Source organism: Homo sapiens, chromosome 14 (assembly GCF_000001405.40).
Source record: "Homo sapiens chromosome 14, GRCh38.p14 Primary Assembly".
NCBI classification, from domain to species: Eukaryota; Metazoa; Chordata; class Mammalia; order Primates; family Hominidae; genus Homo; species Homo sapiens.
In genome coordinates, this window is record NC_000014.9 from 77,917,107 (window position 1) to 77,942,676 (window position 25,570).

The 25,570-nt window shown below is 48.3% G+C and overlaps 1 protein-coding gene across 15 annotated transcripts in view; it reads left to right on the top strand.

Moving 5' to 3' along the window:
- ADCK1 (aarF domain containing kinase 1) overlaps positions 1-17,908 on the top strand; it is a 134,906-nt gene extending 116,998 nt beyond the window's left edge. For 12 of the 15 annotated variants that reach the window (NR_158989.2, NR_158988.2, NM_001366490.2 and 9 more), the window contains 4 exons: positions 7,351-7,500; positions 8,658-8,855; positions 14,412-14,605; positions 16,114-17,908. Coding sequence is in view for 12 of the 15 variants with exons in the window: in NM_001366490.2 (NP_001353419.1) it covers positions 7,351-7,500; positions 8,658-8,855; positions 14,412-14,605; positions 16,114-16,285 (714 nt within the window). In the remaining 3 variants the exon portion in view is untranslated. The remainder of the gene's footprint in view (positions 1-7,350; positions 7,501-8,657; positions 8,856-14,411; positions 14,606-16,113) is intronic. The other 3 variants (NR_158987.2, NM_001366486.2, NM_001366488.2) reach the window with 1 other exon arrangement.
- The last annotated feature ends 7,662 nt before the right edge of the window (positions 17,909-25,570 follow it).

Sequence of the window (25,570 nt, forward strand, 5' to 3'; positions counted from 1 at the left end):
CCCAGTTTTTCTGGAGGATGAGGTGGGAGGATCATTTGAACCCAGGTGTTCGAGGCTGCAGTGAGCCATGATGGTGCCACTGCACTTGAGCCTGGGCTACAGAGTGAGACCCCGTATTTTTTTTTTCAAAAAGCTCTAGGTCTGGTCTAGTCTTTCAAGCTGTTATGCCTCAAAAAGCCTGGGCAGAAACTGGAGGAAAGGCAGAGAGAGTTTGAATGATTAACCTCCTTATAGTTAATATCAGGCTACTCATGTGATTATCAATATCCTGTAACACCAACCCCGTTTCCTTCAGAGATCTTGGCCTTTCTTTTAAGACACCCCCCAGGAACATGAATAGATTTTCTCTTGAGGGTGGGAATAAATTAATCCATGTAATTATAGAATAATTAAAGTACTTTTAGCCAATTCAAGTTTTGAGAAAAGTCCAAAAATAACTCATTGATTTAAATATTATTTACTAAATTAATTCTCTACTCAGTCTTTTTATAGATTCCTGGTTTTTTTCCCCTCCCTACTGTTAGAGAATAAAGGCATTGCATAATAACTGAAATCACTTATCGTGAAAGGCACATTTTTTTTATGTGGAACAATTAAAAGATTTCTCATTGACTTTTTTTTCCTAAATGGCACTGTACTGTAGCTTTAGTTAACAGTGTGGTTTTGGTTAGCTGACAGTCCTGGATTTCCCACTGAGACTCTTTTTTTCAAAATGGAACATTTTGCCGGCTTCTGGGGTTGGAGTGGGGTGGTGTTCAGATGTCTTTGGTGCAGTCTCTGTCTCCAGGAGGAGCTTCCCTGTGAGTGGAGAGGCAGTATAACGGAGCGATTGAGGCCTGTTCTCTGGAGCCAGTGCTCCTAGGTTTAGACTAACTGCCGACCAAGTGACCGAACTTTCTATTTTGTGTCCTGATTCCTTCACCTGTTTAATGCAGAGGATGGCAGTGAGTGCTGAATCTGTTAGTGTAAAGTGCCTGGCATGGTGCCTGGTATAGTGTGTTAGCCATCATTATTTGTCATGCTGGACCCCTGTCAACTTCAGTAGGGATGGCACCAGGTTCAAGAGGCCAAAGAAGAGACGGTGAGTGAAACATAGATTTAAACAAATGGTTTATATGGGGGAACTTACAAGACAGTTCAGTGGCAGCAGGCTGGACAGGAAAACCACCACCACTTGTAAAAAGCATGCAGTTCATATCGTATTTTCACTTAGTACCCTGTCCTCAGCAACCTTCACCTAGCAACCCATATTTCTGAAGTTAAGTCAGGTGTGTCTGCCTTAATCGTCTGCTTAAGTTATTACTGTCAGATGTGTCTATCATGCCCCATTCTAAAAAGATGGTGCATCCTGTCATTATGCAGATGCCACCGTTCACAGGGCATGGGGCAGTGTTAGGGACACAATGATCTGTTCTTAAGCAAGACACATAATGTATTATAGAAGGGAGAGAGGGTCGTGTGCCCAGTAATGGCCTTAGGTTGCTCCTCAATGCCTCTGAGTAGGAGGGGGCTGGCTTCCCTCTTCTGGGAAATTCAGTTCCTAGAAAGACTAACACAATTCTAAGAGCTGTTATCCAACACTTAGAAATAAGGCCAGGAGAGTGTGGTGTGACATTCTTGGGCATTGTTCAACCAGCTCCCTAGAGGATTTATTTTAATATCTAGGGAAATGTACTTTTGTTTGACTTTGCTATTGACAATTAATTAAAGGCACAGAGTGGTCATACATCAACTTGAAGATCTTATCCAGTAGAGATGCAAATAATTTCTGTCTAGTATAAAAGATAACCTCAAAGGTTGTGACTTCTTTTTATGCCTCATAGAACAGTAACCTGTTTTTCAGCTAATCCAGAAACCTTAGTCTCTTATTCCTGTTTAAACGCCCATAAACACCTGCTTCCTCAAAATTCTCTTTGAACCAGCTCTACCATCTTACTTGCCCCCTTATTTATTTATTTATTTTTGAGATGGAGTTTCACTCTTGTTGCCCAGGCTGGAGTGCAATGGTGTGATCTTGGCTCACTGCAACCTCCATCTCCTCGGTTCAAGCAATTCTCCTCTGCCTCCCAAAGTGCTGGGATTACAGGCGTGAGCCACCACGCCAGGCCCCAATGTGTAGTCTTTTATCCCTCACCCTTCTCCCCAAGTCCCCATAGTTCATTGTATCATTCTTATGCCTTTGCCTTTGTGTCCTCATAGATTAGCTACCACTTATAAGTGGAAACATACGATACTTGTTTTTCCAGTCCTGAGTTACTTCACTTAGAATAATGGTCTCCAATTCCATCTACGTTGCTGCAAATGTCATTATTTCATTCCTTTTTATGGCTGAGTGGTACTCCATGGTCTATGTATACCACATTTTCTTTATCTACCTGTTGGTTGATGGGCATTTAGGCTGGTTCCATATTTTTGCAATTGTGAATTGTGTTGCTATAAACATGCATGTGTGTCTTTTTCATATAATGACTTCTTTTCCTCTGGATAGACACCCAGTAGTGGATTGCTGGATCAAATGGTAGTTCTACCTTTAGTTCTTTAAGGAATCTCCACACTGTTTCCCATAGTTGTTGTACTAGTTTACATTCCCACCAGCAGTGTAAAAGTGTTCCCTTTTCACCACATCCATGCCAATATCTATTATTTTTGATTTTTTGATTATGGCCATTCTTTCAGGAGTAAGGTGGTATTGCATTGTGGTTTTGATTTGCATTTCCCTGATCATTAGTGACGTTGAGCATTTTTTCATATGTTTGTTGGCCATTTGTATATCTTCTTTTGAGAATTGTCTATTCATGTCCTTAGCCCACTTTTTGATGGGATTGTTTGTTCTTTTCTTGCTGATTTGTTTGAGTTCCTTGTAGATTCTGGATATTAGTCTTTTGTTCGATGCATAGCTGTGAATATTTTCTCCTACTCTATGGATTCCTTCCACTCTGTGGATTGTCTGTTTACCCTGCTGATTATTTCTTTTGCTGTGCAGAAGCTTTTTAGTTTAATTAAGTCCTGTCTACTTATCTTTGTTTTTGTTGCATTTGCTTTTGGGTTCTTGGTAATGAAATCTTTGCTTAAGCCAATGTCTAGAAGAGTTTTTCTGATGTTATCTTCTAGATTTTTTATGGTTTCAGGTCTTAGATTTAAGTCTTTGATCCATTTTCAGTTGATTTTTTATAAAGTGAGAGGTGAGGATCCAGTTTCATTCTTCTACATGTGGCTAGCCAATTATCCCAGCACCATTTGTTGAAGAGGGTGTCGTTTTCCACTTTGTTTTTGTTTGCTTTGTTGAAGATCAGTTGGCTGTAAGAATTTGGCTTTATTTCTTGGTTCTCTATTCTGTTCCATCGGTCTACGTGCTTATTTTTATACCAGTACCATGCTGTTTTGGTAACTATAGCTCTGTAGTATAGTTAGAAGTTGGGTAATGTGATGCCTCCAGATTTATTCTTTTTGCTTAGTCTTACTTTGGCTATGTGGACTTGCCCCCTTATTAACGAGTTAAAAAAACTTTGACACATGTTCATTCTGTATTTATTTAGTTTTACTTTTAATTTATGTATTTAGAGAGAAGGTCTCGCTGTATCACCCAGGCTGGAGTACAGTGGTGCCATCATAGCTCACTGCAGCCTGAAACTCCTGGGCTCAAGTGATCCTTCTGCCTTAGCCACCCAAAGTAGATAGAACCATATGCATGCTCCACCACACCTGGCTGAATTTTTAATTTTCTGTAGAGATGGGGTCTTGGTATGTTGCCCAGGCTGGTCTGAAACGCCTGTCCTCAAGCAATTATCCCTCCTGAGCCTCCCAAAGTGCTGGGATTATAGGTGTGGGCCACTGTGCCTGGCACACATTCTATATTTATATGAGCCGTGCTTTAAACTTTGAAAATTAGGCTTTGAGGGTGATAGTGGGTATGTATTTTTTCTAAGTTAAAAATGATAGGCCAGGCGCGGTGGCTCACGCCTGTAATCCCAGCACTTTGGGAGGCCGAGGAGGGCAGATCAAGAGGTCAGGGAGATCGAGACCATCCTGGCTAACACGGTGAAACCCTGTCTCTACTAAAAATACAAAAAATTAGCCAGGCGTGGTGGCAGGCACCTGTAGTCCCAGCTACTCGGGAGGCTGAGGCAGGAGAATGGCATGAACCTGGGAGGCGGAGCTTGCAGTGAGCCGAGATCGGGCCACTGCATTCCAGCCTGGGCGACAGAGTGAGACTCTGTCTCAAAAAAAAAAAAAAAAAAAAAAGAAAAAAAAGTTAAGCTACTGCATGAAAAACAAACTGTGGTGTGCGTCTTATAGTGTGTAAAGTGCTTTCTCATATGTGATCCTATTTTGACATTGAATCTCAAGGTTGCTCTGTGAGCAAGTAGAGCAGGTGGGGTTAGTCCCACGTAGCCGCTAAGGGAACTTGGACCCAGACTGAGAAGAGAGGTGCCTTATCCCCAGATCTCCCATGCCCAGAGTGACAGAACCATGCCATTGGCAGGGACTCCCCCTCCTGTCTCTGTCTATGCTGGTGAAATCTGGTTAAAACAAACATTAGGAACAGTCCCAAATGGAAAGATAGAGTTGGAGGCAGGTGGATTGGGGGTGTTGAGATGGAGCGGGCCACTCTGGTGGCTCTTCTCATGTGGATATGAGCAGCAATTGGCAGCCCCCACCCTTCCCAACCCCACCAGCAGCAGCTCACTCCTCAGAGGCAAGGGCTCCCAATCCTGAGCCCCCAGACCCTTAGGGGCCATCTTTCAATGTAGTAATAGGGGGCCCAGAGCGATTAGCAATATTTCAGAAAGCTTAAGGGAGATCATACATCTCCCCATGACAGGCCTGCCCAGACTAAATGAAATGTCATTTCTCTCATTTTTTGGCTGGAATTCTGTCAGCTCAGTCTGGCTGCACTGCTTATCTTGGGCTGATCAGGAGCCCTGATTGGACCTTATATGTGTCCTTGACAAATAAAAATGAATGATTACTTAATAAATGCAATTGGTTTGGCAGATACAGCCTTTCAAAGCATGGCTCCATGAAGCTCCAAAGAGCCTCACAGAAGAGGTTATTGGTGGCATCGAGATGGGGACTGACTTGCTGGCCCACCCAGGACCAGCCCTGGCTGGGGGCCCCCTCTCCAGGGAAGCAGACAGTGGTGGCCCTGGGGCATCTGGCATCTCAGCCTGAGTCTGAGAACTTGACCTGGGGCAAAGTCCTGCTCCTAAGGCCAACAGACACTGAGTGCAGGGATGTCTGTTTCACCCCAGGAAAATGGCAGGAGCTGGAGGGCTGGCGTGGTAGCGGGCATAGTGTCTTACATCTCTTCACCTCTTATAAACATACAATGAAAGCTAGTCTGCTCACCTTCCAGGGGTGTTATGAGGAATCGGGGGCGCTTATGAGAGTCACCAGGGCACAGCACCGTGGCATTCTCGTTTACCTTCCCAGTGACCCCTGAGAGTGGGACTATTATTATTTCCATTTTACTGAAGCTGATGGCATAAGGAACTTGTTTAAGGTCACAGCGCTCAATTGAAAAGTGCAGAAGTGGGTGCAAGCCAGCGTAGAATAGCAGTTACTAGAAGGCTGCGGGGTCAGCTGGTGTGAATCTTGGCTCGACCCTTTTCTAGCCATGAGTTAGTTAAACCTTGATGAATCAGTTTCACATCTGCAAATGAGGATCATAATTGTCCCTACCTTTGGGAGGCTAATAAGGATGTCAGCTGGTTGTTACTAAATTAGGGTCATTCTTGATGATTTAATTTGGGGCAAATTATAATTGATTGGGATTCAGAGGAGATGAATGGGGTTAGAATAAACATCGAGGCAGGAACCACAGCATCTTAGGAAAACAGAGAGATGAGGGTCTCACGTTGAACGCAGAGTCGTAGTCACGTGTTTGCCACTGTTACAAGCAAGTGGATACATAATAGAGCCAGTCTGTGGTCCATAAATTATACCTCAACAAAGCTGTTTAATAAAGCAGAGCGAGTCCCTCCTATCTTGGGAGTTTATGATAGTGGGATAGATGGTCATTAATCAAATAATCACACAAATAGTGAGCTAGTGCCCTGAAAGAAAAGGCCTTTGAGAACGTATGGCAAGGGAACCTCATTTTGCCTGGGAGGCCAGGGAGGGCTTCTTCAGAGAGGTGATGCTGATCTGGGATGGGAAGGAAGAGAGAGGGTAAGCCAGGTGAAGGGGAGATGGCAAGAATGCTCCTGGCAGCAGGAATAGCATGTGCAAAGGCCCTGAGGCCAGAAAGCACACGGATTGCTGGGGAAGAGAAAGAGTGAATATGGCTGGAATGTCAGTGTGGTGTGAGATGAGACCAGGCAGGAGGCAGGGCCTGGTCAGGTAGGACTTTGTAGGCTGGGGGAAAGAGGAGAATTTTTAAGATCCCAATCCTGTGTTCCCCACCCGTGGGCCCCAGCTCCTCTCCCCTCTGACCAGGTTAGGTTTGTTAATGACCATGGGGTCTAGCCGAGGCCGAGAGGGTTGCCTAGGGCAGCTTGTGTCCTGGCGTGTCAGCTTTCTGGGTCGAGCATCTCTTTGTTCCCTGGAAACCTGTCAACAGACCCTCTATGGGCCCAGGTCTGGCTTTATTCAGCAGCTGTTCCTTAGCGGGGAAGAGGCTTTTAGCTTTAATAAAAAAGGGACTAGAGATAAGAAGACTGCCTCGTCAGGGAGAGCAGCAGTGACAGGATGATTTAAACGGCTTCTCTAGTGTCATTTCTTCTGTGCAGACATCATAAATCAGATTAGCATTGGGCTCTGGCAGGGAGGGGAGCAGGGAGAGGGGAGGGGAGCAGGGAGAGGGGAGGCGGGCCTGTGACTCTGGGTCCACCTAGCACAGGCCTGGAGCAGGTGGGGCAGCCCCAGAGGAGGCGGTGGGGTCACCTGCTCCTGATCCTCAGCCCCCTCACCCTGTTCTTTGGAGAAGGGGTGAGTGGAATGACTCCCTCAGCCCAGCTGTTCAGCCCATTCTCAGCTTTGGGGGGAAATGGAGAAGGACTGATAAAAGGGTATGGAGGAGAGAAATGGGGGACAAGTCGGGGGGCGGGTGTGGGAGGTGGAGAGTGCAGTTCTCCTACCTAATCCCATGTTCACGTCACCTCGAACTTTAAAAAATACTGGTGCCTTGTACCGCCCACATGGTTTCATGATTCTAAGGTGCAGCTAAAGTTAAGAAATCTTAAACTCAAAGAGTATGTCATCTCAAACAATCACTCCCACCACAACCGCTCCGGCCCACCGATTTTCTCTGGCCTCCCCTTAAAAGTGACCACATTGAGAGACCAGACAGAGGTCCCTCGGATAGATGTGAGTGGAGAGGAGCTCCCACCTGCCCCTCTTCTCTTTCAGATCTCACGCCACCTGGGCAAGATGTATAGTGAGATGATCTTCGTCAATGGCTTCGTGCACTGCGATCCCCACCCCGGCAATGTACTGGTGCGGAAGCACCCCGGCACGGGAAAGGCGGAGATTGTCCTGTTGGACCATGGGCTTTACCAGGTAGAAGAGGCCTTTGTTACCCAGCCCTGGGGCCTCTGGGGTTAGAGTCTGCTGACCACTCTAATTAGCTGCAGAACCGGGAGGGAGATAGCGAGGGTAGCTGGAAAGGACCCTTCCCTCTCCCTTGGAGCTGTCATTTTGTGCAAGTCACTGTCACAGAGCTCTCAGAGCTTCAGCTGCCTCCTCATGAAGGTGAGGGTGACGGTACCCCCTTTACAGGCTATTGTGAAGAGTAGATGGAAATAGGCTTGTATGTTAGATTATACTTTCCCATGGAGCCCCAGGCCAGCAAGGATCCTCAGAAGTGAGCTGTCCTCTGCATGAGCTGGGACTTTACGGGGAAGGAGTAACTACATGTTTAGGCCTACTGAGGATATACTACCTAGTGGGAAAGGGGGCAGGCAGCCAGTGGGGGCTGGAGGGCCTCAGACTGTGTCCTCAGGATGCAGATCTGGTTCAAAGGAGCCAGGAGCTCCTACTTGGAAGATGGGAAGTTCACTGCCAATCTGGGCCCCAGGGGATTCTGCTCCTTCTCTCAGTGACCTGATCCCACATCCCAGAATCTTGGCCTCTTCTGAAAGGCTTAACGAAGTAGAATGCATTAGTTTAGGGTAGGCTAGCTGTTTTCACATGTGGCCCCAAAATGATGGCCCAGATACAGCAGGAGCTTAATTGCTTGCTCACATGCCAGTCCTGGATGGGTGGAGGAGACTGCCAGGCTCTGCCTCCCAAGCCTCACCAGAGGTGATGGTGCTGGCAGCTGGCGGCAGGGTGAGGGCTTGGAGGAGCCTGCAGGGGAAAGTTTCTGTGGGCCAGGCCTGGAAGTGGAGCTTCTGCCACATTCCGTCAGTTGGGCTCATGCTGAGGACCACATCTAACTTTGAGGGAGGCTGAGAAAGGAGGCTGTACCTGGGAAGAGGAGGAGAATGTAGACTTGGTTGGGCAGTTAATAGTCACTACCACTCAGGGTCGAGGCTTGCCAAAGAGTCGCTTTGAACTTGAAGCTTCAGGGATGGCAGAGCTCTGGGGGAGAAACAGATGTCGTGGGAAGGCACAGTCCTCACCGTCGTCTTTTGCAATGGTTGGCATCAGCCAGGGACTTGGGCCTTTGGTGGGGAGACGAGGCTTAGGTCCCACCGCTGCCGCCTCCACCCTAGATGCTCACGGAAGAATTCCGCCTGAATTACTGCCACCTCTGGCAGTCTCTGATCTGGACTGACATGAAGAGAGTGAAGGAGTACAGCCAGCGACTGGGAGCCGGGGATCTCTACCCCTTGTTTGCCTGCATGCTGACGGCGCGATCGTGGGACTCGGTCAACAGAGGCATCAGCCAAGCTCCCGTCACTGCCACTGAGGTAGGGGGCCCCTCCAGGCCCTGCCTCTTCCTAAATGCAGAAGGCAGGGCTAGAGGTGGCCTGTGGACCCCTTCCAAGTAAGGTCTAAGAGTCTAGACTGGTGGGCTGTGTGTTGGGGGAGGGGAAGAATTGGAGCTATATTGGACAAGAAGAGAAAGACAAGGAGAAATAATGCCCTGGATGGAAGGAGGGAAAGGGGGTGATACCTCCCGAGCTCCCCTCCAAGTCTTATCAGTCTGGAGGAAACAGGTGCACATTAACCATAATAACTCAGACTTCTGTAGCTTTAGCTCTGACCTGCTCACACTAGATTCCAGGCCTTCCCCAAGTTCTCCCACAAGACCTCTGGGAATCCTTAGGGACTATCTCTTAAATAAATCTGGCAGTACTTCTGCTGTGTCCTGCCTGGCACTGTCTCCCATCACATGGCTCCTCTAAGGCAACAAGCTGAGAGAGCCCTTCACTTCTCAGGTGGCACTCAAGCAGGGGTGCTCATCTCATTGTCTGCAGACTTTTTTGTTTGTTTGTTTGTTTAATGAGACGGAGTCTCGCTCTGTCGCCCAGGCTGGAGTGTAGTGGCATGATATCGGCTCACTGCAACCTCTGCCTCCGGGGTTCAAGCGATTCTCCTGTCTCAGCCTCCTGAGTAGCTGGGACTACAGGTGCACATCACCATGCCTGGCTAATTTTTGTGTTTTTAGTAGAGGTGGGGTTTTGCCATGTTGGCCAGGCTAAAGCAGCTTTTTTGTGGTCATTATTTGTAGCTCATTTCTCTATTTCACCTAGACAAGAGTCTCATGGAGTCTGGGCTGGGAGACACATCGGGAGCACCTCCACCCAGTACTCAGACCCACCTCTGCTTGCACGACAGAAGCTTATGGGGGCGAGCTCATTCCTCCTGGCTCAGGGTGGGCTCCCTTCCAGGGGGCTTTTCCAGCCTCCAGAATTGGCTGCTGTCTTCACAGCCTATTAATTTGCCAGACCCACTTAGACTTGCCTGAATCCACGTGGGGGATGGCCTTGGGCTCCAGCTGAGGCCCCTGCTCACCATCAGGGACAGGGTTCTGCCTGTGCAGTCAGAAAGCCCTGGGCTCCAGCGCCTCGTCTTCCTTACAGTGTGACCTTGGGTGGTCCTCATCACCTCTTTGAGCCTCAGGGTAAGCTGCTTACCCTGTAAGCTGCTTTGTGATAGGCAGCTTTGGGAATGGCTAGATCCAGATTCTCAAATGATGTCATCAAAGAGACCATCCGTCCCCATCTCTCGGCTCCGCTTTCCTCCAAGTTGACATCCTTCTCCAGCAAGCTTGGTGGCAAAGATGACGACCAACTCTCGGCTTCTACAGCCTTGAAGCCCGTCATCTCAAAGGAAGACAGACAATTTTCCTCTTTTGTAAAATAGGGATAGGGATGATAAGGATAATTTCCACTTTATTGACAGTGCATGTAAAGTGCTTACCCATAGTTCCTGAAGTTCGTTCTTTTGACAAACATTTGTTTTTGTTGGGCTGTGGGTATGAGCTGAGGATCCCATGATGAACAGGCAGACAGGCCTTCTGTGTAATTTACACTTTGGTTGAGGGAGACAGACAGTAAACAAGTGAACAAACAGGTGAATGGAATAACTGCAGGTTGTCAGTGCCCTGGACGAAACAAGTAGGGTGCTGTGAGTAAGGGGGCGGAGCAGCACTCAGAGAAGACCTGGCTTGAGGAGGTGACATTTCAGCTGAGGCCCAAAGGACAAGAAAGGCACCAGTTCCAGGAAGAACTTGAAGGACACATTCCAGGCACACTCAAGCCAAGGGGAAAGAAAGCGTTTGGTATGGCCCAGAGCGTGGTGAGGAGGACGGTGGGATGAGAAGACGGAGGAGCCGTGGGCAGGAAGATCATCACGCAGGGTCTTAAAAGCCACGGGAAGATGTTCCAACTAATTCTCAGCACAAAACAAAGCCCTTCGTAGGCTCTGAGCAGGAGAGGGAGATGCCCAGGCTTGCTCTTTTTAAGTATCTCTCTCGAGTGGGGTGAGATGAGTGGTGGCGATCATTTAGGAGCCTAGGCCGGGACTCCAGGTTGAGAGATGACAGGGGCTCAGGCTGCACTGGTGGCAACAGAGATGGAGAGAGGCAGTGGAGCCAAGGTGTGTTTTGGAAGTAAGATTGAGTTTCTGTAGGATTGGATGTGGAGAGAAGGGAAAGGGCAGGGCCAAGGCTGCATCATAGCTTTTTGGGATGAGTTTTATGGTGGGGGATGGTGCTACTTCCTGTCGTAGGGAAGACTGGGAAGGACATATTTGGGGTGGGGTAGTCAACGGTTCTCTTGTGAAGGTAGAGATGTCATGGGCAGCTAAGACTGGAGTTCACAGAAGAGGTCTAGACTTAAAATACAAATTTAAGAGTCTTCAGGGTAAGGTGATATTTAAAACCTCAGGCCTGGATGAGGTCACGTGGCATGTACTAGGTTCTCAGTATATTTGTTTTTATTAACTAAGATAGAATTTTGTTTTTGCATTTTTTTTTTTTTTGAGACAGAGTCTCTCTCTCTTGTCCAGGCTGGAGTGCAGTGGCACAATCTTGGCTCACTGCAACCTCTGCCTCCCAGGTTCAAGCCATTCTCCTGCCTCAGCCTTCTGAGTAGCTGGGATTACAGGCATGTGCCACCACACCTGGCTAATTTTTGTATATTTAGTAGAGATGGGGTTTCGCCATGTTGGCCAAGATGGTCTCGATCTCCTGACCTTGTGATACACCCATCTCGGCCTCCCAAAGTGCTGGGATTACAGTCATGAGCCACCGTGCCCAGCCTGTTTTTGCATTCTTATTTATTGATAAAGACTCAGTTTAAATGCCAGTCCTTTGAAAAAGTCTTGTCTCTTCCAGAAAGCCTGTTCTTATCACCTTTGCCAAAAGTCACCCCTTAATACTTGTATTACTAACAAGGCAAGTACACCATGCCCCTTGTAGTTATTTGTCTGCACGCCTTAACTCTCCAACTATGTGGTGAGTACTTGGAAGGCAAAGACCCCGTCTTGTATATCTTTTTATAAGGTCCCTGCCATCCTGGGACTGGGTCTGGTAGAGGGGCATTTGTGAATGTTCTGGAGACACTTCCTCCATTTGCTCACTTTAGACAACCCAGATAGATCATAAAGTTAGCTACTCCAGGTCAGCCTGGTCTCAGGGATCCACAGGCTCAGTCTTTCTGAGCCCTGCTCTCATTGAGGATTAGGGGAACCTCCAACATTGTATGAAGGAGAATGTTTTCCCCAACTAACCGTGGCTTAAACATAAGGAATTTGTTCTCTCTCCTACAAGAAGCCTGGAGATGGGTGGGTTAGCTCAGTGGATCAACAAATTCAGGTCCCTGGGCTAACTTGTGATTCTCTGGGCTTTCCACCACAATTTCAAGATGACTGTGTGGTTCCAAGCTTTACATCTTCATTCAGTGTGGCTAGAGGCAGGAATAAGGCGCTATGTCTCCTTATATCATTTAAGAGCAAGAAAACCTTTTTTAGAAGTGCCGGCCTCCCTCCAACAGCTTCCTCTTGCCTCATTGGCTGACGCAGGTCACGTGTCCATGCCTAAACCAGTCATGTGGCAAGGGGCTGAGAGCTCAGAGCTAGCCCTGGCTGAACTCAATCCAGATTCCCTGCTGGGGCCAGGGAGGGGCTGCACCTCCCTATGGAGCATGACCCCAAGGGATCAAGTGAACAAAATTTTTTTTTTTTTTGAGACAGAGTCTCGCTCTGTTGTCTAGGCTGGAGTGCAGTGGTGTGATCTCAGCTCACCAAAACCTCTGCCTCCTGGGTTCAAGTGGTTCTCCTGCCTCAGCCTCCTGAGTAGCTGGGACTACAGGTGTATGCCACCATGCCTGGCTAACTTTTGTATTTTTAGTAGAGATGGGGTTTCGCTATGTTGGCCAGGCTGGTCTCGAACTCCTGACCTCGTGATCTGCCCATCTTGGCCTCCCAAAGTGCTAGGATTACAGGTGTGAGCCTGGGTTCTTTTAATAAAGGAGATTGGGGTGAAGACTTAGGTAGATACCCAACAGGGTCTACTGCAGACACCCACCATCAGGATGTGTCTTAGCTGGAGACTGCTGCTCTGAGAGCTGTCCCCCGGTAGTAGCCTGGGTGACTGAAGTTGCTGAGAGGCTGTTGCCAGGCCAGTCCGACCGTGCTGAGAGGGGGGTCCCTGTGGTGAGCAGGGGACTTGTAGCTGTGGCCATAGGTGCCTCTTAAGGTCTGGCTTTGTGTTGAGATGTTCCAGTCTGATAGTTCCTGCCTGAGAGGCAGTTCAAGACATTTCAAGTTTTGCAGTGACTCTGTTCTCAGCAGCGCACACGTGCTTCTGAAAGGACTGAGAGCCCTGCTGCTTCGGAGAGGAGTGGGGTGGTAAAGACTTTCAGCAGCACCCCGGGTCTCCTCATTATGACTTGGCACTGATTGCTTCCTCAGACCTTATCTCTGGTGACCTTCCCAGTGCTGCTGGGAGGCGGGCACAGAGGGTATTGGCATTCCCAATTTTTGGGTGAGGACACTAAGTTGAAAGAGATTAGAGGACTTACCCAGAGTCGTCGAGTCCTGTGGTGAGGTGAGGAGGTGTGGTATTGCCAGATGGTGAGGGCACAGGCTCGGGAGCTGGACTGCCTGGGTTCACGTCCCATCTCACCACTTACTAGCACTTAACTTCTCAATGCCTGTGTTTCCTCATCTTAAATGGGGATAATACACCGATAGGGTTGTTGTGAGGATTAAATCAATTAATACGTGCCAACATTGTCAAAGTGCCTGGCTTCTTTAGTAAATGCTCAATATATGGTGCTTATCGTCACCATCATCATCATATCTATGGAGACTGAAAAGGGGTCAGAACCACACTTATATTTAGGATTTTGCTGGGGGCATTTATCTGCTTAGAGCTGTGAAGAGTGTAGGGACAGGGATCGTGGGGAGGCCAGACCCCAAACTTAAAGACCAGGTAGGTCAAGGGCTGTGGCGATGACCAGCATGAAGGGCTAATCCTGGATCCTAGGCCAGGGCATCAGACCTTGGGCCACAGGTGGGATGAGACTGGCTCTCATGCGAGGACAGTGGTAAGCAATGGAGCGTGAGCAGCAGCATGGTCTGGCAGGGTGCAGGCTATGGGGCAGGACTTTGGAGTTGGGTTGAAGTCAGGTCAGCCTGAGCTAGGCTTGGAGGGGTAGGAGACCAGACTCAGCTGGTACTGGCTTCTGGGGGTCCTTCCAGACCTGATCTAAAATTGCGGCCAGTGAAAAAGCCATGGAGAATAACCTGGTCTCTCGCAATGTATACTGTGTCACATCCAACGCTTTCCTAGAAGTTTGGCTGAGATATCCCCTTCCGGGTTTGTCAGGCTATACAGTGCCTTGTGCTAGACTTCTCTATGGGGAGTGCTCCTAGCAGTGCCAAGACAGCGGTGCCTGAAGCTCCCTCCTGGGGCTTCTTTGCAGCCCTCTGGTCACAGCCTGCCAGACCCCTGCCACCCCTGGCCCCACTGCCCATACCAACCATCTGTTTCTGTTGCCCCATTGCTGCTTCAGGACTTAGAGATTCGCAACAACGCGGCCAACTACCTCCCCCAGATCAGCCATCTCCTCAACCACGTGCCGCGCCAGATGCTGCTCATCTTGAAGACCAACGACCTGCTGCGTGGCATTGAGGCCGCCCTGGGCACCCGCGCCAGCGCCAGCTCCTTTCTCAACATGTCACGTTGCTGCATCAGAGCGCTAGCTGAGTGAGTGTGGGCTCCTCCCTCTCCTCCCCTCCTAGCCCCCTGGCCTGCCCCAGGGGTCCTGCTTTTGCTGCCACCTTTCCCCACCAGTCTACAGGGCCCTGCCTGAGCTTCCCAATCTCCAGATATCCCTGCAGGCAAAGTTAAAGTTTGAAATGTTTTCTGAGAGTCTCAGCCCCATCTAAGTATCCCAAGTTTGAAGTCAGGAAGCCGTGATGTGTATCTCTCCACTAATTGGTCCTGGGACTTGTCAGCCAGGCCAGTGCTCTTTGTCCTATAGATGAGACTGTGACTCAGGTTCTCTTGATCTCAGATCTTTTTATTTATTTATTTATTTAATTTATTTATTTTCTTTTTTGAGACACAGTCTGACTCTGTCCCCCAGGCTGGAGTACAGTGGTGTGATCTCGGCTCACTGCAACCTTCATCTCCCGAATTCAAGCGATTCTCCTGCCTCAGTCTCCCGAGTAGCTAGAATTACAGGCACCCACCACCATATCCAGCTAATTTTTATATTTTTAGTAGAGACGGGGTTTCACCGTGTTGGCCAGGCTGGTCTTGAACTCCTGACCTCGAGTGATCCACCTTCCTTGGCCTCCCAAAGTCCTGGGATTACAGGCATGAGCCACCATGTCCAACCTCAGATCTTTTTAGATGCCTCAGCACCTTTGGGCATTAATGAGGAAGAGAAGTGTGCTTCCTCAGGGAGCTAGTTCCAGAGGAAAGAGGGTTTCAGGCTGTATTACTGAGTGTGACAAATACGTCGGAAGGGCCCCGCTCTGGATGATTGTTCTCACTCAAGAGAGAAAGCCTAGGTAATGCTCAATTTCCAGCCCTTCCGTGCTGGGAATGGACCATTCTGGGAACCTATCTGGTGAAAGGAGATTTGACCACGTATATCACGTACCCACTATCAAATATTAAATTAGTTTACAGCATAATATACTGCATACTGAAAGGGCCAACTTTGATTTATTCTTCCTCTGAGGGTTCAGGAAATGAAGTCTTGAATAGGTCATCATCATAAACACCAGTTTTCATCATGTCCTTTTGTTGGTGCAGAAGGGATTGAGCTGGGCTGAATTCATAATGGCCTCAGCCTCCCAGGACCACCTGACCAGGTTTCCAAGTGATTCTTATCCTTAGAAAGTTTGGAAAGGCTTTGACTATTTTTGAGTTTGGGAGATTCTTGGTTGGCATAGATTTACTATGCTTTTGGAGAAAGAAACATTGGAATGTTCTACCCAATGGGTTTATTAGACCATTGATGCCCTGTGAAACAACTGCTTTTGTTTATTCCACTTATTTGAAAAACTCCTTTGAAATATTTGATTTCCTCTGGCTCCCGATTGGGTAGTGGTATAGTATGATCCTGTATCCAAGAGTAGTCCCTAGGGGCAGGGAGCTGGTGAGTTGGCCAAAGCCACCATCTTTAGTTTTTCTAAATGATACAGAGCTAGTGTTTCTTGCCTCTTTATCTCTTTTCTCCTTTTTTCTTTCCCTTTTTCCAGGCACAAGAAGAAGAATACCTGTTCATTCTTCAGAAGGACCCAGATCTCTTTCAGCGAGGCCTTCAACTTATGGCAGATCAACCTCCATGAGCTCATCCTGCGTGTGAAGGGGTTGAAGCTGGCTGACCGGGTCTTGGCCCTAATATGCTGGCTGTTCCCTGCTCCACTCTGAGTGGAATTGCTCTCCCTGCCCCATTCTGGTGTCTTTCCACTCCTCAGCCCCTCATCTTGCCTCCACCCAGCTGCTCCATTTTTGCCACATCGTGGCCCGCAGCCCCAGAGTCACTGTCCATGTCACCATCCTTCTCCTCCTTTGGAATCCTCTCCGCACACTGTGGCCCTTGTCTCAGGGCCCACAAGCTGAACTGTGGCATAGCTCTCTCTTCTTCTCCAAGAAGACTCAGCAGCCTACATTCCCATTCCTGGTATGTGCCATTGGGTTGGATGTCCCCACTACTTCCGTTAACCCTTCCCATTGTCAAGATGTGCCACGGGTGCCACTGGGGGCACACTGAACTTGTAGGGAGTGTGATTTTGTTGGAGGTGCACATGGTCTCTGAATTTGACAGAGAACACCTTCCCTTTCCTTGCCATGTCACCCTCCAGAGGAAGTCACACCTCAGCGAGGTGGTTTGGCATCTGGGGCCAACTCCATTACAGCTATGAGCTCACTGCTGTCAGTGACGTTTGGTGTTTTCTGTACTGTGTTTCAATAAAAACTCCTTCAAGGTTGCAGGATTTGTCCATCATAACTCACTGGCCTCCCACCTGACCCCAGGCACGTGCCCTTCCAGAATGTGCTCATGGTCCTCGCCAAGGGCTTATGGTTCCTCTTGGTTGCTGCTTCCTCAGGGTTTCCCAGGGAGATCTAGGGAACAGAAGGCCAGGGGCTGTTTGGTGGGATTTTCCTTATAGGTTGGGAGTTCACCTACAATGCCCATTAGGTCAGAGTGGACCTGAATCGAGTATTGGTGTGATCTTCTGCTTGGCTTCTTGCTCCTGTAATCCTTCCAACCTGTGGGGCCACTTCCACTATGGGGCCACTTCCTGCTTCTTGGGGGTTTCTCTTACCTTCCAAGACTCAGACTCTGGTTGGAGGAGTTAAGAAGCCCAAGGCCAGGAACTCAGAGGCTCAGCTGAAACCTTGGACCTTGTTTTTCTGTGACCTGGGTACCAACCTTGTTCTACTGTTTCCTGACTTATCCCTTTGGTTCTCATTCAGTGGCCCCAGTTTTAGGCCTGGAATTCTACTTGTCTCCCCCCAGTCCTTCTGGAGACCTTAGTCCTCTTGCTGAAACCTCCGTCACTGTGGCTGGGTTTTCACTGGGAAACTTCTGTGTTTCTACCCCATTGCTTGCTGCCAGCACTGCCTCTCCCCCCAGCCTGGTTGTCTGCTTCTGTTTCTTGGACATCCCTAAGCTCCTGCTCTAATTCCCATGTCTTTGTCTTTGGCAGGTCCTACTGTCTGCTTTCACGGACAGTAATTGTATTTGAGCCTCTCTGATCTTACTTCACCCAATTCACAAGGGCAGAAAAAATCCTGAATTTGAGCCTAATTTTCTGTACTCTTTATTCATAGTACAGCAAGCAGATTTTTCAGTGATCAGTGACAATTCACAATCCTTTTATTTCCCAAAAGAATTAATTGTTCTTAGTGACCAGTTGGATGCACCCAGGGACCTGAGAGTATAATTTGCAATATCTGATTATTAATCTTGAGGATGTGTGCTGCATAGTATATTTTATGGTGTCTTTTATAGCCACTGAAGTAAATATAAATGTCCTTTCTGTTCAAGGTCATGGTTACTTGCTTTTTAGTTTGGGTATGTGTAATGGTTGGCTTCGTGCTGTCCTGGGATCTAAAACATCAGCATGGTGCCAGTGGGCCCAGCACCCAGAACAGTTAGCTGGGGTGAGCAGAGAGGCAAGAAGAGTTGGGAGTATGGGACTGTGTGAAGATAGCAAGGGAGGAGGTAGATGTTTACTGAGTGCCTTCCATATGTGAGAGTCTGTGTTAGGCTCTGCAAATATGTTACATCATTGAGTTTTCCCATCCCCTCTGTGATGGAGGGGTTATTAGCCTCATCTTACTGAGGTGGGAACCAACGCTCAGAGAGGTTTAGTAATTTGCTTGTGGCCACACAGCTGCTGAGTAGTGGCCTGTGGTTTTTAGTTTTTTTCTTTTAAATTATACAGTGCTGTAGAGATGGAATACATTTGCTCCTTGGGCTGTCTTATATGCCTGAGTTTGGGTCTCAAATGTCCTGAATTCAGAGGAAATTGGATTTACAGGAGTAGGGTAAGGGGAGGAAGTAGATGGGTAAAGAAGGCAAAAGCCCTGGAAGATGCAGACCACCAGCAGATGTTACCCAGGGCCTCAGACAGGATGGACCTGGACCACTACATTTCTGCAGTGCAGTTCTGACACTAACCAGCTGCAGTTAGTGCAAACTCTGCAGTCTTGAGGACACAGTTCCCCACCAGACTGCCCTCACTTCAGCCACAAGCTTCAGGTGTGGGGGGCCCCAGACCACCTGTACCTCTGACCAACTACAAATTTGGGGATTCCCATAGCCCCTTCGTGTTTGATAGTTTGCTAGAATGATCCACAGAACTCAGGAAAGCACTCTACTTGTAATTACACTTTTAATATAAAGGATACAACTCAGGACCAGCCACATGAGCCACACGGGAGATCTGGGAGGGTCTTGAGTGCAGAGCTTCCGTGTCCTCTCCCCATGGGATTAAGGGGCATCACCTTCTTGGCACATCAATGTGTTCACCAAGCTTCAGTGTTCAGAGTTTTTATTGGGGTCCCATTACACAGGCATGATTGATTGACTCATGGGCCACATTAAAGGAACTCAATCTCCAGTTTCTTTCCCCTCCCTAGAGGAGGCTGGGGTGATCTTGCCCCCATTCAAAGTCATCTAGTTAGTATAAACTTAGGTGTGCCACAAGGGGCACACCATGAATAACAGACATTCCTATCCGTTGGGAGTTTCCAGGGATTTAGAGGAAACAGCACAAAGACCAGGCAAATTCTTTATTATTTGACAACCACTGTGATGTGTCCTTGACTTATCCTGGGGCTGTGGTAAGCTTTTATTGACTGGCTGCTGTCCTGGGCCTTCTACTTGGCTTGGGAGGAGTCATCTCTGGAGTTCAAATCCATAGGAGAACCCTCTCTCCCGGATCTTGTTTTGCAGTTCAGAAACACTCGGGTGAACTTTGCACTGATCCCTTCTCTCTCCTGTGGAATTTGCCATGAGGGCTGGCCATTGATTTGGGTTTGGTGCTTTTCAACAAAATTCTGCAACTTCCCCCACCCCCTAGCAGTGATAATGTCTCTCTGCAAGGCATCGCCAGTTTTGATGAATGTTTTCTCTTAACAGGTGGATACTTCTTATTTAATCTAGTTGTTGGCCTCTTTGATTTAGGCAACACAGCTATTATTCCTCCTCCCTCTTCTTAGGTGGAGGGAAGAGGAATTCTGACCCTGGCCCATTTGGTCCAGAGCCTCTCAGATATGTAAGTGTAGATGTCCTGGCTTATGATACAGTGCTCATAAGCATGCAAGTATTTAGAATTGTACCATTTGGCTGGGCATGGTGGCTCATGCCTATAATCCCAGCACTTTGGGTGGCTGAGGTGGGTGGATCACGAGGTCAGGAGTTCAAGACCAGCCTGGCCAGTATGGTGAAACCCCATCTCTACTAAAAATACAAAAATTAGCCAGGCATGGTGGCGCGTGACTTTGCTGTGGAAGCAAGGTCTATTATAAAAATACAAAAATTGGCCAGGCATGGTGGTGCCCGCCTGACACCTCCCCAGCTACTCTGGAGGCTGAGGCAGGAGACTCGCTTGAACCCGGGAGGTGGAGGTTGCAGTGAGCTGAGATTGTGCCACTGCACCCAAGCCTGGGTGACAGAGCAAGACCTTGTCTCAAAAAATAAAAATAAGAAACAGAATTGCACCATTCTTTGTGTTTTTCAGGGGTGTTGAAATCTGTGTATTTAAAAAGCGGCGCATGCTCTCATCTGTCATGAGGTGCTGCTTGGTCATCAGGTTAACTTCTGCAGCATTCCTAGCCTACTCTCAAGATCAGAGATGGTCTGTTTCAGCATTACAGGATGCCCAGGGCCCTGCTGCCACAGCTGCAGGGCTCTAAAACTGCGAGCATCTAATATTATCTCAGAAAACATAGTGGCTCCAAGAGGCACCCCAGCAAATCCTGGGCAATGGAATTTGTTGGGAGGTTTGGAGTAGCCCTCAGTTTAGGCAAATGTGTGTCTTAAGTGGAGTCACACAGAGTGGCACTTGGACTTAAGTGGTTAGGAAGAGTGTAGCCACGAGGAGCTAGGATCCAAGCTGGGAGCTGGTGATCACGTATGATCTCAACAGGATGAAAGAACCACAGAGGGTGGTGTCTTCCTGGCAGCCTGCCCCAGTGGAGCAGTGCTATTTCTTGGGCTAGATCAGGAGGGCCCATATTTAAAGAGAGGTCCTGAGTGCCGAGTGACCGGGTGCCACTGCCACTGGTAACTCGCCAAATGGGAACTGTGGGAAGACCAGCTCCCATCACCCGACCCCCACCACCCCCCGCCACAGCCCACCCTACAAGCCTTAAGTCCACAAAACATTTCAGTAAAAGCTGTTTGGGGCTGGGGGTGGTGGCTGACGCCTGTAATCCCAGCACTTTGGGAGGCTGAGGCGGGCGGATCACTTGAGGTCAAGAGTTCGAGACCAGGCTGACTGACATGGTGAAAATCCGTCTCTACTAAAAATACAAAAATAATTAGCTGGGCATGGTGGCGGGTGCTTGTAATCCCAGCTACTCGGGAGGCTGAGGCAGGAGAATCGCTTGAACCTGGCAGGTGGAGGTTGCAGTGAGCCAAGATGGCGCCATTGCACTCCAGCCTGGGCAACAAGAGTGAGAAACTCCATCGCAAAAAAAAAAAAAAAAAGCGGTTTGGTAAGGAGCCATTTGTTCAAAAAGCCTCTGCCCTTCTTCCTGTTTTTCCTTTTTGTCCCCTTCCTCCTTGCTTCCTTCTCCCTGTCTCTCCCACTCTTTCCTTCCTGGGAAGCAAAGTCTATTATAGGGCTGCACAGGCTGACTTGGTTTTCACTCCTTTACTGAAGGAAGGACAGGATCAGCCCTCGGAAGGGTAAATGTTAAACCCCGGACTCTACCTGCCGTGTCCTTTTCCTTGCAGTCAGTACCTCCTGGCCTGGTTTGCTTGGTTTCTGCAGAAGCTACCTCAGCCCTGCCATCAGCTAGGTAGGACACCCTCCCAGCCAGGTCACTGTGCTCCTGGCCAGCACTGCTGGGGGCAGTGAAGGCTTTTTCTGCCCATTTCTGCTTTTGGCTTGATTATTGCAGAGTTCCTCTGATGTTTGCTCCTATTTTTCACTTTCCTGTGTGCGAGAAGAAAGGATAGACTCTTAAGACTGGTGAAATGATGGATATTAAGCCTCCCTGACCCCTACCATTTCAGCTCCTATTTTCTCATTCCCTCTCCCTGCACGTTCATTCTAGAGCAATCCCTCTCAGATTTTCATGCATAAATGCATAACTTGGGATCTTGTTAAAATGCAGGTTCTGACTCAGTGAGTCTGGGATGAGGTCTGAGGTTTTTGCATGTCTAACCAGCTCCCAGGTGATGCTGATGCTGCTGGTCCATACTTTGAGTTGCAAGGATCTAGGTCAGTGGTTCTGAACATGTGTTCCCAGGACCAGCAGCACACTCATCACCTGGGAACTTGTTGAAACATGCAGATTCTCAGGCCTCACTCCAGACTCACTGAATCAGAAACTCTGGGGGAGACCCACCCATCTGTTTTAATAAGCCTTCCTGGGGATTCTGATGCTCACACTTGGATTCAAAATCACTGATCTATGGTTCTCAACCCTCCCTGCCCAGAGCAACCACCTGGAAAGCTTCAAATGCTCACAATTCTGATTTAATTGGTTTGATTTGGGGCCAGGCATCTTTCTGAGACAGGGCCTCACTCTTGTCACCCAGGCTGGAGTGCAGTGGTGCGATCACAGCTCACTGTAGCCTTGACCTCCTGAGCTCAGGTGATCTTCCCACCTTAGCCTTCCAGGTACCTTGGACTACAGGCATGTGCCACCATGCCTGGATTTTTTTTTTGCATTTTTTTTTTTTTTTTTTTAGAGATGGGGTCTCGCTATGTTGCCCAGGCTGGTCTTGAACTCCTGGGTTCAAGTGATCTGCCCGCCTCGGCCTCCCAAAGTGCTAGGATTACAGGTCTGAGCGGCTGCACCTGGCCAGGGGCCAGGCATTTTTTTATAATTGTGTTTTGTCTTTAGATTGCATCAATTTCCTCACTAATGTCCTCTGTGTCCCAGGACCCCATCAAGGATTCCCCCTGGCATTCCGTTGTCATGTCTCCTTAGTGTCCCCCTATCTGTGACAGTTTGTCTGACTCTCCTTGTCTTTCATGGCCTTGACACTTTTGAAGAGTACTGCTCAGGTGTTTTGTAGAATGTGTCTCAGTTCGAGTTTGTCTGGTGTTTTCTCATGATTAGACTGGGTTAGGGGTTTTGAAACAAACACAACACAGGTGAAAGTGGCCCTCTCATTGCATCCTATCCAGAGAACAAGATATCAACATGACTTACTGCTTTTGTTCTTTAATGCTCACCAGTCAGGGTTGGGACTCCTGCTTCAGGCTCTCACCCCTTCCAGGTGTCTTCCAGAGAAGGAAGAAATGCAGCTCATGAACCCCACCTGTGGGCATTAGGCAGCACCTCTTTGAGATTAGGAGAGGCTGGCTACTCCCAAATTAAAAGGCGCTCTGGAAACTAAAAGCTGCAGATATGCTGAAGAAGGTAATACAAAGGGTGGTGTGGCTTTCATATTTATATTGACCACAAATTCACTCTTTATGCATACACACAAATGTAATGACAAATGGATGTAACATCACAAACATGACCATTGAGCCCTTCTTCCCAAAAGGTAGGTCTGGCACTACGGATTTTGTTTTCCAGGCATATTTGCGGTTCTAGAAATGGGATTCCCCAGTGGGGTGTTGGCATGGAGCTCTCTGATCAGTCCCCATGAGTGGTGGGCTTGGAACCATCTGCACCAACTCAACCTGGCAGCCACCTGTTGGTGCCCAGCAGGGGCCAGCCAGCGTCTCACCTGAGCTGGTGGCCAGCTGTATCAAGCCCATGAGCCCCGGGTAATGAATGTTGGAAGTGGTCGGTGGCCCTTTCTATAGGAGGGTAATCATGGAGAGGGACGGCTGGAGGGACAGATGGTCAGCAGTGTGGACTTTTCTCTCCAAAGCTGACCTTGGGTGGGACATGAAGCCCTTCCTGTCTCCCCAGGCTGCTGAACTGGGGACAGAGGTCAGGGGCTCTGGCTGTTCCCCATCCTCTTGGAGCTGTCAGGACAACTCAGCTGTCAGGGCTGTGTAGTGGGTAGGAGGTCTCCTTTCCTGCCCACTGCTTGCTTGTAGTGGGTGGGTGGTATCCTTCCCTGTCCACTGCTTGCTTTCTCTTGCTAAAAGTAAGCATGTACACATCAGCATCTACAGACCTCTGTTAATGGATGGTGAACTCAAGGACCCAGCCCTTAATTACGACCCCACACTGCCTGTCTCTGAGGCAGCATAGGGTTGTAATTAAGGGCTGGGCCCTTGAGTTGGCCTAAGCTCAAATCCTTTTGCCCTCAGGGTTCTGTGTGATCTTAGGCAAGTAATCCAACCTCTCTGGGCCTCAATTCCCAAATTTGAATGGTGGAGATAATAGTACCTGCCTCATAGGGTACATTGGGAGGATCAAGTTAGATAATAGATACTGTGTACTTGGAGAAGTGTTTGGAGAAGTATTTGGAGAAGATAAACCATAGTAAGTCCTCCATAAATATGTTTTATTTTTATTATTAGCTCCTGTGGCAGACTATTTCCAACCCCCTTAGCTCTTGCTTTCCCAGCCTCCCTTGCAGCTAGAAGTGGCACATGACATGCGAGGTGAAGGGGAATCTTATGGAGGGCTTCTGGAGAAGTTGTTCTTTTCTTTTTTTTAATTAGAGATGGGGTTTCATCATGTTGGCCTGGCTGGTCTTGAACTCCTGGCCTCAAGTGATCTGCCTGCCTCAGCCTCCCAGAGTGAGCTACCACGTCCGGTGGAGTTTTTCTTTAGAAGTTGATAAAGGTATAGTTTGTTAGTGTTGCCCCTTGCTCTTTCTTCCTGTAGGGGAGACTGATGTGTGGTTTTGGACGTCTGGAACTACAGCAGCTATTTTGTGACCTTGAGGCAATAAGCACAGCATGATGTTTTGTTTGGCCACTGTATGGACTGAATTATGTTCTCCCAACATTCTTATGTTGAAGTCCCAACCCCAAATGTGACTATTTGATTAGGCCTTAAAGTAATTAATGAGGTTAGATGAGATCATAAGACTGGGGCCCTAAACCAATAGGATTGGTGTCCTTGTAAGAAGAGGAAGAGACACCAGAGCTCTTTTTCTCTCCACACGTGCGCAAAGGAAAGGCTCTATGAGGACATAGTGAGAAGGTGGCTGTCTGCAAGCCAGGAAGACAGCACCAGAAACCAACTGGGCTGGCACATTGACTTTGGACTTCCAGCCTCCAGAACTGTGAGAAAACAAATTTCTGTTGTTTAAGCCATTGTGCTTTATGGTACTTTGCTATGGCAGCCTGAGCTCATACAGGTACTTGCCTTCTCTGCTCAATGCTGGGTGGTCCCCCCTCCCAGAATTTATGGATGTTGGACTGAGGCCTCATAGGCACCAATGACTTAATGTGAAATAAATTTTATTACTTATGTAGTAAATAGCAAAAGGATTCCCCAAGGAGAAGGGCTCAGGTTCCGTCTGGAGTGAAACCTGAATGAGAGGTACTTGAGGTAGAATGGTTCTGGTTTTCTATTGTGGCTGGGGTGGAACCAGGATGGGGGTTCCCATGCATGGCCAGGGTTTGCCTGGCTTGAACTTCCCCACCAGCAACAAGTGGGAAGGCCTTGAGCTTTCTTATGGGCTGGCCAGACCTGGGCAAAAGGGTAAGTGGGAGAGGTGCAGGGCTTGAAAGCTGTCAGAGGTCAACATCAGAAATGGAGTCAGACTCTACTGTACATGAGAATCCAACAGGCTCGGGGAGCCCACCAGAAGGATGGGAAGAGCCTGGGTCTCTGATGATCCCTCCTGTCCTCTGTCCTTGCTCATTGTAGCTGTGGGCATGGGTTACGTGCAAGAGTAGACACATGATAAATATCTGTTGAAGAAATGAACATGAAAGGGATGCTTTTAGATGCGAGGAGCTTCCTTCTGAGTGTTCTTTAATCAAATGCTCCCTACACCTATGGCTTGGAGGAGGTAGTCAGGAGGCCTGTGTCAGGACACAATGATCATTTGTATTAGTTTGTTACTGCTGCTAAAACAAATTACCACAAACTTAGTGAGTG